Raw genomic sequence first — 21,062 nt, 5'->3', positions numbered from 1 at the left:
ATATATCTATGTATATATTACATACATATATATTACATAAACATATATAATTATATATTACATATACATATTACATATATAGTACATATACTACATATATAAAGCATATGTTGTATATAATGGGATATAAAACATACATATATAATGGGATATAATAGTATATATAATGAGAATGGCAGTTATATATGTTTCTGTCTCCCAGGTGTGCCAGAGTGAAGACCTATATGTGAATAGGGCTCGCCTGGAGGTTGAAGTAAAGAACTGAATAAAGGTGAAAAGACTCCACTATAGGCATTTATAGGATCTTGAACAACAAAGAACCAAACTTATTCTTGTCCCTGGGAGAAATACTGGGTGGGGTCTGATGGATATCTGATAAAAGTCAGTAGTTCCCTGATGTATGTGAGCACTGGTAAGCATGTTTTACAGGTTCCTTTTCCCAGTTTAAGTTCTATTAAGACCAATAATCTTGTTAAGCCTGGGCTGGAAAATGTCACAACTCGTTAATGCTGGTTATAAAAAGAAAAAAGAGCATTTAATTAACTATTGGTTTTACCTGTGATAGCAAATGCGCAGTTTAATTTTGTACTTTACTTGATTGACTATATAATACATAGGTGTGTGTATATGTCCATGTGTTTTTAAAAATGTGTTTATAATTATCATGGGTTCAGCAGCTCATTATAAAGGGAAGTTATATCCCAGGTCATGGGTTTATGGGTCATGGCCAGCAGATATGAATAACATTATGAATAAACTAAACATAGGATTAAACTTATTGAAAAGTTTAAAAATTGTTTGGCACAAGGGAAGGCACAGGGCAATTTAAAATTTAGGATTGGCTTATATTTCACATCAGACTGATCACCAAGCTTTAAATTCCCGGTGGCTATGTCATGTCTGCTTAAAGGGCCTTTAGTTGACACCATCAGTTATCTACTCAGGCCCCCACAATCCCGTTTACAATATCTGTGCACCTTTCCGGGCTTTGATGTACTTTTGTTTCCAGCCCTTGTGGGATCAGGCTGAAGCCATTCTCCACAGCCTGGGCCTGAAATCATTCTGTTGATTGGCATTTTCCCTATCCCTGTTCTGCTCCTCCTCAAGTGTACTAGTCTTTCCTAGGAGCATTTCATTAAAAAACTACTTGCACGGTGCAATCTTTGTCTCAGAGTCAGCTTCTGGGGAGTCAGACCTAAGACAGGGCTGTTTTAAATTAAAATACACAGACCCCATCTATTAGCTAGCTCTACAACCATGGGAAGTCCAGAGAACAAATGGATACTGCAAAATAAGTGTGAATGATCTTGGCAGGTCTGGTGTAAAGCATTATACAGAAACCCCTATGGTTTTAATTGATAAAAGAACAACTTTTAGAATTGCCTGAATGGACCAACTCCATCATGCAAAAGAGCCCTATCTGCTAGAGTTGCTTCTTGCCTTTCATTCCCTGTGTTCTTGTGGGTCAGCAACTCCAGTGAAAAGCTGTGCGTCTACTGTCTGCTGGTAGTTAAACTGCCTTAACTGTTTCAGTATAACCACTCATTACTAGGTCAAGCTTTGCTCTGGGAAGCCAGGATTTAGACAGGAAGCAGCAGTGAAGTTGGGTCTTTGTGGTGGGATAAATCCATCAGAAGGCCTCTTGGCTCTGAGAAGTGCCCTGACACTTCTTTTGCCTCCCCAAGAACCTCTTTTTTCTTATTTTTCAACAGTTTCTTAGGGCTAGCTTATTTTTTTTTTTAACCTCTTTTTATTGCCATGGTTTCAGATTACATTTTCTTTCCTGTTGTTCACTGTAATTTTTAAAAAAAGTCTATAATATATATCTAGAAAATCCAGAAGGAAAATAAACCCTTTTCATGTTTTTAAAATGCATTGTGTGTACATATTGGCATGTGTGTGTGCTCACACATATGTTTGAGTAAGGTGGGATTGTGTTCAGAAAGAAAGATTTACTACTAATACTAAAGGCAAGAGATGGCAAAAGGCTTTTATTTACTTCTCTGCCCCTTCCTCAGCCTTCTCTTTTTAAAACTCGTATAGAAAATATGTTAATCGTGGAACTTTGTCCACAAAGGATAGAGTAAGAGCCATTTCCATTTCAGAAATTGTTTTTAATGTTTTGGCCCTGAGTTGGATCTGGTTCAAGGGTAAAGACGGAAAGAAAAAAAGATTTGTCTAGGAAGTGAGGCAATGGATTGGGAGGTAGAATAACTGCTAAAGGCAGTCTTGAAGCTAGGAGAGGTAGGGAATGATGGAGAAAACCCAGACCCTTGGCCATCACATCCAAGGTCCTTCCTTTAAGGACAGATAGCCAGAGTCCTCATTGTAAAACAGTAAGTGAGTTGAGTTGAGAGATCTCAAGCAGGACTAGTTGGGAGTGACCAGAAAAGAAAGATGAGCAAAAGCATGACATACAGCAGCCGGGGAAAAGGCATTTGGTGACCTGAAGCTATTATTCCCGGGTGGCTGTAGATGTGTGGAGGATACTCTGAGGTCACGCAAGGATCTGCCACACATGATGTCATTTCCAAGTCGGTCAGAAGCTTGCTGTGCAGGGCATATTTCAGCCCTTGCTGCCCTGTAGCAGGTGTAGGGAATAGAACATGTTAAAACAAGGGGCCTGCTTAGGAGATCCACCACCTTTCCATTTGATTTGGATCAATGAATGGCTTTATGTTCTAGAATGCTTTTCCCTTGTGGAAGTTTTGTACTTTGTTTGACAGATTCTAACTGTTTTCTACTTAGAAGAAAATGGAATAGGTTTTATTCTTGAAATGTACCTGTTGCTGGGATTCAAATTCCTAAAACAGAAGTTGCCATTCCTTTCTCCTCTAAACGATCTGATTTGAGAATGGGAGTTTGAGCAAACATAAGCTTTACTGCAGATAGATTTTTTTTGTTCTCTTTTTCAAAGAGCAGAAAATTACACATAATGCAATAATTGTTTTTTTTTTTTGTTTTTGGTTTTTTTTTTTTGCCATGAAGACAAAATTACTAAGGAGGAAAAGCTCTATGAGAAAATATAAATCCTATTGTAGAGAACACAATTAGAAGAGGGTAATTCAAGACACATCAATATATTGCCATCTGTAGCAATCATTAACTTGTTTCTCTTGCTGTTTATGATTCAAAAAGTAGTATCCTTTCACAAGAATACTAAATCACAATAGATAAATAAATCATCAGATTGGAATACAGATGGAATACTGAAGAACAGTATCATTCAAGTGATGGGAAGAAAAGCCATATCTTATAAAAGATCTTACAGAAAAGCAGCAAGAATGTGGAAACCAGCAGGAAATCTACATAGGTGTTTGGTTTAGATAAGTCAAGAAAACAACTAATAACCATAAATCATAATTATGAAAAAATTATGCCAGAAACTATAGTAATTAAGTCCTTTGCAAATATAATCTCACTTAATCGCCACAGCATGCCTATATGTCACATGTTATTATCTCATTTATAAATAATCAGGCTTAAAGAGATTAACTAACATATCTCACTGCTAGTAACGGGAGTATTGGGTTTGAACAGCCAGTAAAGATGAACTGTAATAATATGAATAGCTAAGAAGTCAGATGTTTGGTTGATCTATGATGGAAAAGTTTAAACAAAAATATGCTGGAAGTGTAGTGTAGCAACTGAAACATGAAAGCCATTGGTATGAAAGACAAAGGTTCCTAGGCTAGATATTGGAGAAGGAATTACAACTGGAAAAAAACTGTTCTGAATGAGGCTAAAAACATGATATAGAGAGATAAAAAAGCAGACTGTAACTCAAAGAAGCTTGTGGACAGAGTGAATGAGTTTAGGACTTCAGAAGCGGAGTGCTTCCTGCTAAAATGGAGGCTCAGGGTGTGACCCTGTGCAGGTTAATACATACTAAATGTATTGCATGTGGGTTTCCTCTTTGTGAGGACAATGTAGCAAATACTTATGATGCCTAGTAAATTAATTTATATTCATATTGGACTAAAATATTGACTTTTAAAACAACATTAATTATTATAGTAATTAATCATTATAATCAACTCATTAAAGGTAAATCTTGGTGAATAATGATTCTGGAAGTCTATTAAATTTCATTTTCACTTTGTTCTATTTTGCTAACCATTCACTGATGTTCCCCCCTCCTGAGAGGTATTTAAGTGATAGAGGGACAAACAAACTCCTCATTTCCTTTTGGTTACATAAAATATAATATTGTGAAATTATTTTGTTTATTGAGGGGGCACTTGTAAAAAAAAAATTATAATATGGAATTTTTGTTGATTATAATTTAATTCCAAGAAAGTATGAGGAACCTCATGAAACTTTGTTTTGTTTTGAGATGTGGTCTGTCTCCCAGGCTGAGGTGCAGTGGCATGATATTGGCTCACTGCAGGTTGAACACTCCAGCTAAGTGATCCTCATACCTCAGGTTCTCAAGTAGCTGGGATTACAGGCACATGTCACCATGCCCAGCTCATTTTTAATTTTTTTTTTGGGGAGACAAGGTCTTGCTATTTTACCCAGGCTGGTCTCAAACTTCTGGGCTCAAGTGATCCTCCTGCCTTGGCCTTCAAAGTGCTGAGTGTATAGGAGTGAGAAGTTGCGTCTGGCCTGAAACATTTTTCATACTTATTTATTTTCGGTTACCAGGTCCAGCATGTAATATAAAGATGCTGTATACATATTTAATATTTTAATTTACTTTCTAAAAAATATAATGGAAATGAGATTAATTTGAATATTTATGTTTTAGGTTTTCTCATTGATTAGGCAGCGTTAGACAGCTATTATAGGAATTTTGGGGTTTAATACTACATCCTCCGCTCATCTCCCACCAACAAATGAAAGGAAGAAAAAAAGAAAGAACACTCACTGCCTCCACTTTGTTAATTGTGACTATACTAAATGATTGGTTGTCTGGGCCATTTTTCGGGATGAAAATTCAACAGATAAAAACAATGTAATTCATTTTTTATGGTGTAATTTTCAAACGTTCATTATAAAGTTATATTATTCTATAAATTCTCATTTTGCTTTCTTCAATAAAATATTTGATGTATACAAATATACAAAGTATATATGTAAATTATAAAAGCATAATGTAATATAAACTACATGTACCTCGTACCCAACTTAAAAAATTAAACATTATCTTTCACTTTTAAAATAATTTGTGCTTCTCCCTGCTGGTCATATCCCCTTGCCTCTCTGTCAGAAGTAATCACAATAAAAAAAGTTTTATTATGAAATAGCATAGCATATACATAAACATAGTAACCTCCCATTACTTATTTTTCCACTCCCTATTATGTGTCTGAGATCCATCCATGTTGACACATTTAGCTGCATTCCTTTCTTATTGTGCTGTGTAGCTAATCTGCTGTGTGAATAGACCATAGGGTACAGGTCTATTCCACTGTAGATGGATATCTGGATCCATGCTTTTGCTGTTACAAAGACTTCTGTTAATAATGCTCTTGCACATGCCTACTTGTCCACAGCTGCATGAGTCTTTACAGTCTAGCATGAGTCTTTACAGTCTATTACCTAGAAAAGAAATTGCTGGGTCTTATAGTACTAGGATCATGACTTCAGTAGAAGTTACCAAAGAGTGCTACTAATTTTTACTCCCACCTAGATGTATAAGAGTTCTTTTTGTTCTACATCTTCATCAGTGGTTGCTACTGTTATACATTTTTTTAAATGTATGTAAATCTTTCAGATGAAAAGTAGAATCCAAAAGTAATTTTGATTTTTTTTCACTAAATATCCTAGATACTAAGAAGAATTTTATGTTTATTGGTATGTTTTCTTTTCTGTGAAATATCCATTTTCTCTTAGAATATGATTTTCTTACTGAATTGTTGGAGTTCTTTATATTTGAAGGATATTAATCCTTTGTCATATTTGTAACTTGTCTTTTTGTTCTTTTTACAGTGACTTTGCATGAACAAATGTCCTTAGTTTCAAAGCTGTTGCAAGCTTTTTTTGTCTTATGTAAAAAATATTTTCCTACAGTAAGGCCATTAAAATATTTTTCTTCACTCTTATAAGGTAAAAATTTTGCTTTTCGCATTTAAGTCTATGATCTACTAGAAATTTTTGTATAGGGTACAAAATTCATTTCTTTATTTTTAAGAGTAAACAAACAATTGTCCCAGCTCATTCATTGATTTGTCTTTTCTGTCTCCACTGAATGACAATGACATATCTTCCTCAGGTAAACTCCGACTGCAGGGTCTTTGCACTTGCTTGGGCCTTTGCCTGAAGTGCTCTTCCCTCAGGCAGCGACATGCTCCCTTCTGTACTTCCTTCAGCCTTTTTCTCTAAAGTCATTTTTTTCAGTGAGGCCACATATGGCCATTTATATCTAAAATTCAATACTTTTCCAAACTTTTGCAATACCACATCCCTTATTTTTTCCAATACTCTTGTGACTATTTGAATTTGTGTATACTTGTCTTATTTATCTTATTGTGTCTCTCTCCCACTAAAACACAAACACAATAAGGAAAATGATTTTTGTTGGTTTTATTTACTGCTGAAACCCCAAAACCTAGAAAAATGCCTAGCACATAATAAATGCTCAGTAATACTAATTGAGTGAGTGGATGTATGAGCATATTACATTTGAAAATGGATCTGCTTGTAGGCTTCAGATCTGTTGGAGTGGCCTATTTCTTTTTCTCTGGGTGAGTGCCAGTAACTTAATCCATAGCTGTAAAATAAGGCTTGATGTCTAGTAGGTCATGGCCTCTACATGTTCTCATTCTTTAAGGGTGGTTTATCTATTCTTGATAACTTCCTCTCCTATGTAAATTTTAGAATTATGCTTTCAAGTCTTATGAAAAATCATATTATACTTTATTCACATGGCATTTACTCTATAAATTTTAAGAAAACAGACTTTTAAAAATTATTTTTAATGTTTCTATCCATAAATGTACGTCTTAGTTTTTTCTTTAATGTCTTTATATATATTGTATATGTTATCTCTATAAGGTTATATACTGTTTGATAAATGCTTATTATTCTTACAGACATAGTTAAGTTTTTCATACATTCTTCTATTAAATCAGGTCTTTACACATTAACATTATGCATTCTAAAAATTAAATCATAAAATATGAATTTGTAAATAAAGGTAAATTTTTGAAAGCAGCTAGTAATTAATCAGAAATTTTCCATTTAGCTATGAGATGAAAGTCTTAAAAGTTGAACCTAATAAAACTACTGAGAAAGCTTGAGGAAAACAACTTTGCTCTTAACTTGTAACTTTTCTCCCACTATAAAGCCTTATTATGACCCATCCCCAACAACATTATTTCCTCCCTTGTGTTTCTAATTATGATTCTGTTTTACAGCAATTATCATAATATCGTGTTCTGTGGTATTTATCTCTACATACATTTGTCATCCCCACTAGACTGCACACTCATTGAGACCAGGAACTTTATCTTGTCTTTTTATCCTCAGGCTTAGTCACAGTGCCTGCCATGGACTACATGCTTATAATGTAGTCATTATAAACTGATGGGCACTAAAATTGGGCATCCAAAGGAGATAATAGAACCTACCTTTTTAAAAACCTTCAAAAATTGCACAGAAATTGGCCTGTCTGATAATCCCTTTTTTCTCAGTCCTCTTTCCCTTTAGATATGTATCCCATTCTCTCCTATTTCTCCTCCCACTCTCACCTTTTCAGGCTCCTTTGTTGGATCTTTTTTCTCTGCCATCCCTGAAAACATCAGTGCTTTCCCAGGAATGGTAGCCCTGTTTCTTCTAACGTTACTCAAAGTCTGTTACATATCATTCACTCTTATGTCTTCAGTTATACCAATAATTCTTATATTTAACCTCAACACTGAACACATTTTAAAACTCTTCAACCTTATTTTAAGTTTCTTACATATCTACTACACATCTCATAAACCTGCTAAAAGCATATAAAATTTAATGTTCCTAATATGAACTAATTCCCTTGTCTACACATCCTTCTAAAATTTGCCATTCTTCCTTTATTCATATGATGGTCTGTGTTGTCACTATTCATTCAGTTACCCAAATGAGAAGAATGAGCCTGGGGCCTTATTTCAAAAAGGTATTGCTGACTTAAAAGCCTGTATCCTAAAAATGTCCCCAGTCTCTCCTTCAGTCTTCCAGTTGCTACAGGCTGAATTATGTCCTGTATTTTTCAGCTGGACTATTACAAAACGAAACTTCTTGTCTTTTTAACTCCAGATTGACTTTCTTCCTTCAATTTCTTGTCCAAATTATTTTTTTCTAAAATACAAACTTTCTTATGTATACATTTGAGTTGAATGCTCCTTTTCACCTAATATTGCTAAAAGGGGAAAAGTCCAAATTCATTAACACAGCACACAGGACAATTCATCTGCGTGTCCCAATCTATCTTGCCACTTTCATCTCTTCCAGATATACTATTCTCCATTCATACCAAAATTTTAAACGTTTACTGACATAACATTCTTTCATACGTTTACATGGGTGTTTCTGTTCTATCATTTTCTCCTTTCTAAGTAAATAATTCCTACTCATCCAGCTCAAATATTATCACTCATTTGAAGTCTTCCAGGATGCCCACAAACTGAGTAAACAACCCCTTTCCTCTGTTCCCAAGTACTTAACTTATATCTTTATTTCAATACTTGCTAATTCTAATTAAAATATATTTATGTTTTTGTCTACCCTTCATTACTCTGGGTTATTTTCTGAAGGTCAGAACCACTTGTTTTGCATTATTTTTTCTGCCCAGTTAGGTTACATATCCATCCTTGAACAAAACTCTGCAGCGATGCAGGAAACATCTTCTGTCCATGTAGACAGCATCCTTCCCGCTTGTCAGCACTGACTGAATTCCATCCTTCTTGCAAGCCTACATGTTCAGCTTCTTCCTTACAACTTTATCAAACTGCCCAACCTCCTCAATTTGTCTTTAATTCATTGTTTTCAGTTCTTTACTATATTAACTAATCTCTCTACAATCAATATAGAATATTCTAATGATTATATATTTCATCATGACCATAAGCATTGGACATACAGCATAGGAGTCTAATAACTTCTCCTGTTTATTTGGCCCTCAGTATCTGAAGGATAATGGTGTCTGAAAACCGCAATACCATTATGGATTCTGAACATGCCTGGCTTTAAGTACTTTGCTTATATTATTTCATTTAATCTTCCCAGTAGTCTTTTTCAAGATAAAAACAGTAATGGATGCACTATTCTGGAAGGCCAATACAGGCCTACCCACCTCAATATTTGTATTCCAACATACTTTCTTTTTTTTCCCCTTAGGGACAGAGTCTCCCTCTGTCACCCAGGCTGGAATGCAGTGGCACAAATATAATTCACTACAGCCTCAATCCACTGGTCTTAAGTGATCCTCTCATCTTAGCCTTTCAAGTAGTTGGGCCTACAGGTGCGTGCCACCATGCCCAAATGTGTGTGTGTGTGTGTGTATGTATTTGTATTTATAATATATTTATTTAATTTTGTAGAGATGGGGTCTTGCTATGTTGCCGAGACTGGTCTTGGACTCTTGGCTTCAAGTAGTTCCCCTACCTCACCCTCTCAAAGTACTAGGACTACAGACATGAGCTACTGCGCCAGGCCAGGATACCTTATTGCTTTAGGACCAATTTTATCTCTCCATTTTCCATGCTCAGCTATCCCCTTTATCACCTATTTGAACCATGTGTTGTCTTTAATGTATTCCTTTGTGGATTTATATGATAAAGTGAAAACAGCTACGGGAACTTTTGCCAAGGCGTGTTATGCAGTATATGGCCCTTTCCTGTGGAATGTTTTGGAGTAGTTTGAAATTTGGCTTAGTAGACTGACACTTGATCCACGATTTGTTTTTCTTAAGAGTTAACATCACTATCCTGGAGGTGCGTAGGCAGCCAGATTATTTTGCCAGGTAATTAACAGAAATCTATAGTACTAGTACATTTCCTTTATTGTGATTGCCTTTCTTTATGTTTGCTTATTTTGAGCCAAGATTCCTTTACAAAATGCAAATGGTTATCCAGAAAGATCTGGAGAACTGGTTTAGAAAGTTTACTTAAAAGACAAAGGAAATTTAGCAACAGAGAAAAGCTAAAAATGTAGTTTTAGCTGTCATATATTATTTTCATAATGGAAGGAATTATGTATTCCAAGAAAAGGAAAGTAACTCTCACTAAGAGTTCCCAGAAGATTTCAGAGGAAGTGACATGATCCTAAATCATGTTCTTGATGGCAAAATGTTACTTAGAAAGCCTATTATTTAAATGGAATAGTTTTTTATGGTCAAATATGAGCAACAATAATCCTTTACCTGCAAACTTTATTGATGTCAGGTATTTTGGATGAATATACATTTTTAGGAACCAAGATTACTTTTCTTTAGATTTGTTATTTAAAACACATTTAGAAATAACTCTCGTTATATTTCAAAAACTGGCACAAAGATTCGTTATATTTCAAACTGGCACAAAGATTCTACACATACAATCTCTTTTCTCTGGAGATTTTCTTAAATTTAAAGAGATACAAAAAGGAAATATAGCTGCAAAAGACCAGAGGTGTTTGGGATTGCCAATAGATGAAAGCTTTAAATATTTCTAGAAACCATAGGGTACATGAAGTGCATGGAATAGAAAACTAGAGGAGTGTGAGGTCAGATCCTGGAGACAGTCTAGAATTAGGGTCTGCAGGTAGAATGATGGATGAATAAGGCAGAAAGCATGGGACCAGTAGGGCTGAAAACATGGTGACTGATGACTAAGAAGAGGAAAATTTGTTTTACATCAAGATAAAAACACATTATTTGTAGAAAATAAAGGGAAAAAGAAACTAGAAAAACATGGTTTATATATGTAGAAGACAAAAATAAAACAGAATTTTAAGTACTGATGGATAATAAGAAAAGAGAAGCTACTTTGCTTGAAGCTAAAAAATTCCCTTTTGAACAAGCCAAGATTTGTAGTATTGAAAGCATAAAAAAGAAGTCTAATAGCTTCTCGGCCTTTTGGCTAAGATCAAGTGTAAAAAAGAAGTCTAATTCTGTCACATTATCCAGCCAGCAGACAAAAATATTAATAAAATTAAAACTGATACTGTTGTTTATTAGCTTTCAAATTTTAAAGTCACTCACAGACAAAGTCTGGAACAATGAGTTGCAGTTAAAAGACAGAATATTTCAGTTAGAAAGTTTTTGAACATTTAAACGTGTAAATGGGCCGGGTGCAATGGCTCACGGCTGTAATCCCAGCACTTTGGGAGGCCAAGGTGGGCGGATCACTTGAGGTCAGGACTTTGAGACCAGCCTGGCCAAACTGAGATGGTGAAACCCCGTCTATAGTAAAAATACAAAAATTAGCCTAGCGTGGTGGTGTGTGCTTGAAATCCCAGCTACTAGGGAGGCTGAGGCAGGAGAATAGCTTGAGCCCGGGAGGTGGAGGTTGCAGTGAGCCGAGATCACGCCATCGCACTCCAGCCTGGGCGACAGGCAAAACTCTGTCTCAAAAAATAAATAAATAAATAAATAAATAAATAAGTAAATAAGTAAAATAAATACATGTGTAAGTATAGCTGAAATAATTTGAGAATTGGAAACTGAAGAAGAAAAGAAAAAAATTGAATAACTTCAGGGAATTTGAGATCCTGATTCAAATGAAGGGAACCAAACATAAAAGTGGAAACATACTATGTATAGTTATAACATAATAGAATATTTAAATGAAAATATTAATTTAATATTTATATTGAATGAATAAAAATAACTGTAGAGTAACATAACAATACAATATTTAAATGAATAAAAACTTTTAAAGACTATGTAGAAAAGTATGGAAAAAAGACAAAAAATGTGACAGAATATACATATTAAATTCTCATCTTTCTTAGCGCCTAGAGATTTAAATATATTAGCATGTTATTTAGAGCTGTGATGTTAATCAGCAGAAAAAAAGTCCTAATAGTAAATCAGTGTTTTAAATATTTACCTCTGGACTGGGAAGGTTAGAGCAGAGAGTTTTGTTCTTCATCTGAAGCTGTTTTGTACCCTTGTATTTGTTGCTATGTGTGCATTCTTTGATAAGAAAATTTTAAAACTAGAAAAGGTATTTTAAGATGATAGTATATTCTAAGAGCCCCTATGGAAGTCTTGAAGTGCATGGGAAATACAAAATGTATTAGGTAGTGTTCTAACAAAATAACCTCTTAAATCAGTGTTTCTCAATGTGCTTGCTCATGGGAAACTACTTGGGGTTTGCAAACCCCTTTGGGCCATGAAAAGAGTGGTTTAAATGGTTACAGTTTATATTTTCGTTTTTATAGTTTATATTGTAGTTTATATAGGAAGCCACCAATCACCCAACAGCACTGTATTTTGTGTTTTTCGAAAAATTGTATATATGCTTCTATGTGGTAGACATTAAAAGTGTTAAAAGGCCGGGTGCAGTGGCTCATGCCTGTAATCCCAGCACTTTGGGAGGCCGAGGAGGGCAGATCACGAGGTAAGGAGTTTGAGACCAGCCTGACCAACACGGTCTCTACTAAAAATACAAAAATTAGCTGGGCGTGGTGGTGTGTGCCTATAACCCCAGCTAATCAGGAGACTGAGGCAGGAGAATTGCTTGAACCTAGGAGGTGGAGGTTGCAGTGAGCAGAGATGGCGCCACTGCACTCCAGCCTGGGCCATAGAGCGAGACTCCATCTCAAAGGATAAATGAATGAATGAATGAATAAATAAATAAATAAAAGTGTTAAAAATGCAACCAAAAGGTGACTGTACCTACATGGTTAAGAGAAATTCTGTGGTGCTGGCTTAGCTTCACCTGTGGTTCAGGTGGACTTAATCTTTAAGGTTTTTAGAAATATCAGATATCCTTGACTTTATCCTTCCTTTATCTCCACAACTGAGAACGTCTTGCTGAACACTTGACCTTTATTAAATGTTTCAAGCTTCTGACTTAGTCCACTTTTACATTAGTTTCTTTAACTTATTAAGAAAGGCCCATGAGTGAAAAATAGGCAGAGTAGAGAAAAAAAATATGCAGAAGAGAGAACTAGTGCTTTAGCAATTTGGTGGGAATTAAAAATAGCCTACTCTGTATTAAAAGCAAGTCAACTGTTGGAGATACTTTTTAATAGCCCTTGTTTTATTTCAAGTTGCTCTGGTTTAGTTTTCTCCATCAGTTTTTGTTTTATTTAATGTGTATGCATTTCTGCCTTGTGATATGCCAACCACCAAAAAACCCAGATTCAGATCCAGTTTATAGATTGAGTTCAGAAGTTTGTTTACCAACCCCACACAATTTCAGAGTCAGTATGATGTGAAGGAAGAACATTAGATTTCAATAAACCTGGATGTCAATCTTACAGCTATAACATATAGGATACCATGGCAAATCATTTATCCTGGTTTTTCCTCAGTTTCCTTTTCTGTAAAATGAGGATAATACTGTACCCTGTATAAAATTATTTGGCCACAAAATTATTTATTGGTGGAAGACAGAACATTGGTATTTTGGAAACATCTGGTAAAAAAATTTTAATCTAAGAAAGGTGATTCTATTACTAATGTTTTGAGCAATGCATCTCAGTCATCCCTAAGGAGGATTTTAAACATCGAGTTGAATCAGCATTGTTTTGGGGCCCTGGCTCTGTACCTTTAACAAGCTTCCCAAGGTGATTCTTAGTATACAGCCAGGGTTGAGAATAGCTAAAATACTTGGTAAGCATTTTAAAAGCTAGATTATTAATTTTACTTTATAAACATGCAGTTTTTATTTTGGATATTTACATCAAGGCTCCAAAACACAGTCACCTTCAGATAACAATGCAATTCTTCTACAAAGTTGAACAATGTGGCTTCAACCAAGAATTATATCTTGGACCAGCTTTTTCTCCTTAAAATGATTGACAATCGACTAGGGTGGCTGTTTTCACATGTCTAATAATTTTTCTAACAATAAATCTTTATTGAGCCCTCTCTGTCATCAGGCACTTGTTTTAAGATAAATACAACACCCTACCTCTTTTGCAATTTAGGTTGGGGAGAATATAAGCATATTATTTCAGTAGAAGATGGTAAATCACATGGCACTAGAATTTATAGGGTGCTATGAGGCCTTGAAGGACTGTATTAGCTTTGCCGACTCTAGAGACTAGAGGAAGTCTTGCTGGAAACAATTGCATTTGGAGGGAGAGATAGGAATTATACATCTGATATACAAGTGATAAAGACTGAAGAAAGGAAAGAGCCTTTGAAAAGAAAAGGAGACAATAAAATACACTGGATTATGTAAGGCATTGCCAGCAGGTCTACGTTATTGCAGCAAAATGTCTGGGGCAAGCAGTAATGGAAAATGAATGGAGAAATGTAGACCTGGCTAGTTCCTGGAAGGCAGTGTTTTCCAAAGTAAAATGTCCCTTGTGGCTTGAATTCCACATCACTGGCTAAGAGAAAGAGGCATACAGGGCACTTACGGTGGGAGGAAGGACGTAAATTAGTGAATGAATACTTCAGTGCCAGGAGAAGTAGAATATTTCAAGAAAATATCCACCTTAGCCAAAACACAGAACAAAAGAAATTGAGGAATGCCAAATAACAAGCATTGAAGGGACCTTTTCTAGGGAATTGGTGGGTAAATATGGTTACATAAATCAGCACAGAAATAATATGTATATACATATATATATATACACACACATAGACACAAACATACATATATATTCAGATATATATATGTACATTTGCATTTTTGAGCAAAACATAAAAACAAGGATATTCTTATGTGCTAAATTTCATATATATATATTATCTTGGAATTGTCATGCAGAAAAGGTTAAAAAGATAACCTACAGAGAAGGAATGTGTATAAAAGCCATTCCATACATCATTATACTTTTCCAAAGGCATTAAATGGTGACTGAAACAAAGAAAAAAATAGGCAGTAAAGCAAGAAAAAAATGTACAGCTTAGGTACTGCCCACAATTTATGTCTTTCATAATCAACCAAACAATGAAAACTGGGATAATCATTTATATGGTTCTTACCAATGTGCCATTGTTTAATTTGTTTTCTATAGACTTCGTAACTTTAATTTTGTGACATTTCAAAAATATCTATTGTTTGCAGTCTGGTTAGTAAAGATCTGCCATTAATTGGTACACTACTTATTTCAAGTCTATTCTCCTCATCTCTGAACACTTTAATTCCTTGAGCTCTTTTCTTCTTCCTAGACCCTTGGGGATCACAAAATTCTTTGAGGCTAAAATTGGTCACGTCCAGAACAGGGGCAGGCAAGAAACAGTCTCAGTAATTCATTTATTGTTTGAACTTTTCCTTTTAGTCATTTAGACAGGAAAAACTAATTGTAATTATTAATTTTTCATTAACCAGGATATCCTAGCACTTATGCCTGAGTAAAATTTCCCAGTCATTAGTAGATTCTTATATCATCCGTTCCATTTGTTTTAAGTTGAATTGTGCCCTTCCAAGAAAGAAATGTTGAAGTTCTAACCTACAGTACATCAGAATATGACCTTGTTGGTAACAGAGCCTTTACAGAGGTACTCAAGTTAAAATGAGGTCATTAGGGTAATTCGATATGATTGGTAGCCTTATAAAAGGAGAAATTTGGGCACCGAGACAGAGAGACACAGGGAGAATACAATGCAAAAGGGGAGGATTGGAATGATGTACCTATGAGACAAAGGGCACCAGAGACGGCTGGCAAGGAAGGATGTTCCCCTACAGGTTTCAGAGGAAGCATGGATTTGACAGCACCTGGATTTCAAATTTCTAGCTTCCAGACATGTGAGATGATAAATTTCTGATGTTTTCAGCCACTGAGTTTGCAGTATTTTGTTATAACTGTCCTAGAAAACACATTAAAATATTAAAAAATAAATATGAAAAGGCCAATATAGGACTTTCTCATTTTTACTTTTTTTCAAACCTGGACATAAAAAATAAGTAAATGAATAAATCCCTCCCTTTAATAGCACCAGGATTTCATAAAAGAAAATTTTAACAGTAAAGTCAGAAGAACATATTTTAGAATAAGAGAAAATTCTTAAAATTTAGCCATCTATAATTTATGTATTAAAGTATATTGTCCTTACCTTTATTTTCACATCACAGTACAGTAGCTTTCAACATTTGACCCACGTTTCAGTGACTTGCCCAAGAACCAGATGCACTGTGGAATTCTGATACAGCTGGTAACAGAATAGATTTCTGGAATATATTTCCTTTTCAATTAATAATGCCATGTTGTCTAGGACATTCCTTGAAAATAGAATCCCAATTCTGGAGCTGTGGGGTTAATAACCAGAATTATACTTTATTCAGAGACCAGTCATAAACATCGAGAAACCTGACTTCTCTTTGTGGCAATAGGTATCATAGACATTCACTGTCTTTGAAAGAGATTTTGTTATGTGAGGCCACTAGAAACAGGATTCTAATCAAAATAGAAAGGAATTAAGAGTGGAACTAAGACTCTAAGTGCTGATGACAAGGTCTCTACAGTGTTCAAATTAAATGCTGAAGTTTTCTCCATAGATATTAAGATAATCAGGCATCATTTATTCTTTTCTAAAAAAATGCAATCCTTATCAAAATACCAATGATATTTTTCATGGAAATAGAAAAAAATCCTGAAATTCATATGGAACCACAAAAGACCCCAAATAGCCAAAGCAATGCAGAACAAAAAGAACAAAGCTGGAGGCGTTACACTACCTGACTTCAAAATTCACTACAAAGCTATAGAAACCCAAACAGCATGGTTCTGGCATGAAAGCAGGCGTATCAACCAATGGAACAGAATAGAGAACTTAGAAATAAACACACATATTTATAGCCAACTAATTTTTGACAAAGGCACCAAGAACATACAATAGGGGCAGGACAGTCTCTTAGATAAATGATACAGGGAAAACTGGATATCCATATATAGAAGAATAAAACTAGACCCCCTATCTCTCCCCATATATTATATAAAAATCAATGTGAAATTGATTAAAAATCTAAATGTAATACCCAAAACTATAACTCTATTAGAAGTAAACATAGGAAAACACTTTAGTACATTGGTCTGGGCAAAGATTTTATGTATAAGACTTCAAAAGTACAGTCAACAAAGGCAAAAATAAAGAAATGGGATTATACTAAACTAAAAAGCTTCTGCACAGCAAAAGAAACCATCAACAGAGGGAAGAGACAGCCTGTAGAGTGAAGGAAAATATTTGCAAACTATTCATTCAACAAGGGATTAATATCCGTAATATACAAAGAATTCAAAGAACTTGACAGCAAAAAATTAATCCAATTAAAAAAATGTGCAAATGACTTGAATAGACATTTCTCTAAAGAAAACATATAAATGTGGGGTGCAGTGGCTTGCACCTGTAGTCCCAGCACTTTGGGAAGCCGGGACCAGGAGCATCACTTGAGCCCAGGAGTTTGAGGTCATCCTGGGCAACGTGGCACAACCCTGTCTCTACAAAGAAAAAATTTAAAAAATTAGCCAGGCTTGATGGTGAGCACCTGTAGTCCCAGCTTCTTGGAAGGCTGAGGTAGGAGGATCGCTTAAGCCCAGGAAGTTGAGGCTGCAGTGAGTTGAGATTGCAACACATCATTCTAACCTGGGCAATGGAGTGAGACCCTGTCTCGAAAAAAAAAAAAAAGAAAAAAAATATACAAATGGCCAACAAGTATATGAAAAATGCTCAACATCACTAATTATCAACGAAATGCAAATCAAAGCCACAATGAAATATAATCCCACCCCAGTTAGAATGGCTATGATAATAAGACAAAAAATAACCTGCTAGTGAGGTTGCGGAGAAAGAGGAACTCTTTCTATACACTGTTGGTGGGAATGTAAATTAGTACAGCCGTTATGGAAAAACAGCACGTAGGTTCCTCCAAAAACTAAACATAGAACTACTATCTGATCCAGCAATTCCACTACTCGGTATATATCCAGAAGAAAGGAAATCAGTATGTCAAAATGATCTCTGTACTCCTGTGTTTATCGCAGTATTATGCACAATAGCTAAGATACGGAATTAACTTGGGTGTCCATCAATGGATGAATGGATAAAGAAAATGTGGTATATATACATAATGGAATCCTATTCAGCCATAAAGAAGAATGACATGTTGTCAGTTTTGGAAACATGGATGATCCTGGAGGACATTATGTCTAGTGAAATAAGCCAGACACAGAAAGACAAATACCACATGTCATCACTCATATGTGGAAGCTAAATAAGTAGATTTCATAGAAGTAAACAGTAGAATAGTGATAACTAGAGGCAGCAAAGTATAGGGAGAAAAGGAGGATAAGGAGAAATTGGTTAACAGATACAAAATTACAGGTGGATAGGAAGAATAAGTTCTATTGTTCTTTAGCACTTTATTAAAGATATAGATTAAGTTCTTATTCTGTATCTTCAAATAGCTAAATGAGAAGACATTGAATGTTCCCAACACAAAGAACTGATAAATGTTAGAGGTGATGGATATGCTAATTACCATGATTTGATCATTAGACATCGTATAAAGGTATCAAAATATCACAATGTTACCCCATAAATATGCATATTATGTATCAATTAAAAATAATAATGTTCTATTGTATAGAAAAAACCTGTTACAGAAAAAGAAAGCTCATTAATAGAACAAAATCACTTTCTTCCCTTTCTTTTTTCTCAGTCTTGTTTTTTTCTCTAACTGTAGCTTTTCTCATTTATAAAGTGAGAAGTTTCAATAAAGTTTAAATATGTATTGAGTGCTCTGGGTTCCAGGGAAAGGAATAAGAATCACCAGGTATATGAGCATGGGTGAAACACAGTCTCCACCCACTGGAGATATCACACATGGATGAGTTCTAAAATTGTGCCCAGGGCTTAACTGACAAATTGCGTTGGTAACAATTACGTACTTCCATTTAAAAAGCAGAGTGCAAATGTCTGTGGGTATTCCACAATAGGATCCCAATATATTGGTTAAATGTAATTTGCATGAGCACATAAATGATTCTAAGAAAAATAATGTCTGAAGATGCCCTTAAGCTCATCCATCCTTTGAGCTGTATTAAGCTACCATAGAACATTAGGGAAACAGCCATAGCAGAAATCTACTGACAATGAAATGTTTCTTAAATTACATGTCCTGAGTACTTGGAAGTCATCTAAATGCCTTTGCTTATTTAAGTTCAAGCACTGATTTTCTGAACAAAATCAGCTCCTCCTTAGTTCCTCAAGGGACCACTGTGGGTGTTGGCCTTTGTCAAACAAGATGCCCTGGTGCAAAAATAGTCTGGTGTTGGCACATTAAATATAGATGAGAGAACCGGATAAACCAACTGCTCCACTGTTTAGTTGACAATATATGTAAATTATGCTTGGTGGTTTGCAGTTGTAGAGTTTACTCACAGAGTTGGTATTCTGTATTCCATATTGTGTCATGAAATCATTCTCCCATATGCCATTGCTTCTATTAAGCTCTTTCCACCTTTTTAAGCCTAAGCTTTTCTTGTTGAATCCAGGTTTTCCCACTGCTATTGTTAATACTATACCAAGGCTGATACTGTTTAGATATTGGGTTTCAATGTTGCTCAATTTATTTAGCAATTCAACAGACAGGTACTGAGCCCTTGATAAGTGTGAGCCACTCTGCTAATGGCTGGGTACAAAGAATAATGAGACCCAACCCTGCCTTGACTTTACTGTTTTGGGAGAGACAAAAAGTCAAGAGACATTTTCAGATGGTGTGGAGTGTTGTACTTCCATGCCTGGGAAGACTTAGCCTGGTTGAAGAAGGTCAGATGAGAGTTCAGCAAAAAGAGACATCACAATTGAGTCCTGAAAGCTGGGAAAATACTAGCCAGGGGATGATGGACTAAAAAGCACAGGGAAAAAGAGTTTTCAAGTTAGAGGAAGTGCAAATGACTTAAAGGTAAAAGAGAGCTTGGTGTATTAAAAAATGCTATTCCCTTAATGTATTTATGCGACTTATACATGTTATATTTCCTACTTTTGACCAAATCATCAAATTTGGGTTTGACCTGATTTAGGAGATTAATAGAAATAAGCCTGTCCCTAGTTGAATGAATTTATTTGTTAAATGAACTTGTGTATATCTTTTGCTATTTGGCAAAAGCAAAGTAACCGTAAGACTTTTTGTGTACCTCCATTAAACACCACCCTCCCACCTCCACCCTGCACAGACCTGGGTCTTGGTCTTGGGTGACTGATACTCCTGTTAAATTTTGTAGCAACTCAAATCCCATAGAAAGTAGAATAAAGGCTACATCACTCCAAATTATTTTGACTCATTCATGACACTGAATGATTGGCATTTTTACGTATCTGTAAAGAACTCAAAAGAAAATAATGATAAATTTTATAACAGAAATCCATATTTGTTTCACTCTGAATTTTACAACTGTTAATATTTTGTCATATTTGCTTCCAGTTGTTTTATGTTTGTTAAGAAAATGAAACATTGTGTATTTAGCTATAGTCCTCTTTAGCCACTTACCTAGTCCTATCCCTAGATCTCCAAAAGAAAACAACAAGGAGTTTGGTGTGTGCCCTTCCTTGCATTCTAGTTCTCATAATTTTATATATAAATATTTGCATCCACAATCAATTTATGGAATTGATGCATGTATATTATTAACTTATTATGGAATATTCTGAACATGTATAAGGATAGAATAGTATAATGAAAATCTAAAAATCCATCACTTAGCTTCAGCAATTATCAACTCAGGACCAATCTTATTTCATCTTATCCCCACCCAGTTACCCCCTAAATCCTCTCAAAGATTTTGAAGCACATCTCAGTAATATCATTTTGTTGGTATATATTTCACTATATTTATAATGATAATGATTTTTCGAAGCACACAATCATGCCACAATGATTACAACTAAAGATTTAAAAGTATTTCATTATTATCAAAAATCCAGTATTACTTTCCTTCAATTGTCTCCTAATGTTTATTGTGCAGTTTGTTAGAATCAA

General features: G+C 35.1%; 1 protein-coding gene and 1 long non-coding RNA gene across 19 annotated transcripts in view; one reads left to right on the top strand and one right to left on the bottom strand.

The window, feature by feature from the left end:
• ZNF385D (zinc finger protein 385D) overlaps window positions 1-21,062 on the top strand; it is a 960,546-nt gene that overhangs the window by 777,241 nt on the left and 162,243 nt on the right. The window contains exon 1 of one of the 18 annotated variants that reach the window (XM_017007200.3): window positions 1,833-9,442. The exons of the other annotated variants lie outside the window; for them this stretch is intronic. The gene's annotated coding sequence lies outside the window, so the exon portion shown is untranslated. Of the gene's footprint in view, window positions 1-1,832; window positions 9,443-21,062 lie in introns of those variants that run through there. 18 annotated transcript variants of the gene reach the window in all.
• Window positions 15,564-21,062, bottom strand: part of ZNF385D-AS1 (ZNF385D antisense RNA 1) — a 37,171-nt gene continuing 31,672 nt past the window's right edge. Inside the window, exons 2-3 of the long non-coding RNA NR_046731.1 lie at window positions 16,142-16,334; window positions 15,564-15,895 (exon numbers count right to left, since the gene is read on the bottom strand). This is a non-coding gene — a long non-coding RNA (ZNF385D antisense RNA 1). The remainder of the gene's footprint in view (window positions 15,896-16,141; window positions 16,335-21,062) is intronic.

This window comes from Homo sapiens, chromosome 3, assembly GCF_000001405.40.
Source record: "Homo sapiens chromosome 3, GRCh38.p14 Primary Assembly".
NCBI classification, from domain to species: domain Eukaryota; kingdom Metazoa; phylum Chordata; class Mammalia; order Primates; family Hominidae; genus Homo; species Homo sapiens.
This window is presented reverse-complemented; position numbering and strand designations above follow the sequence as displayed.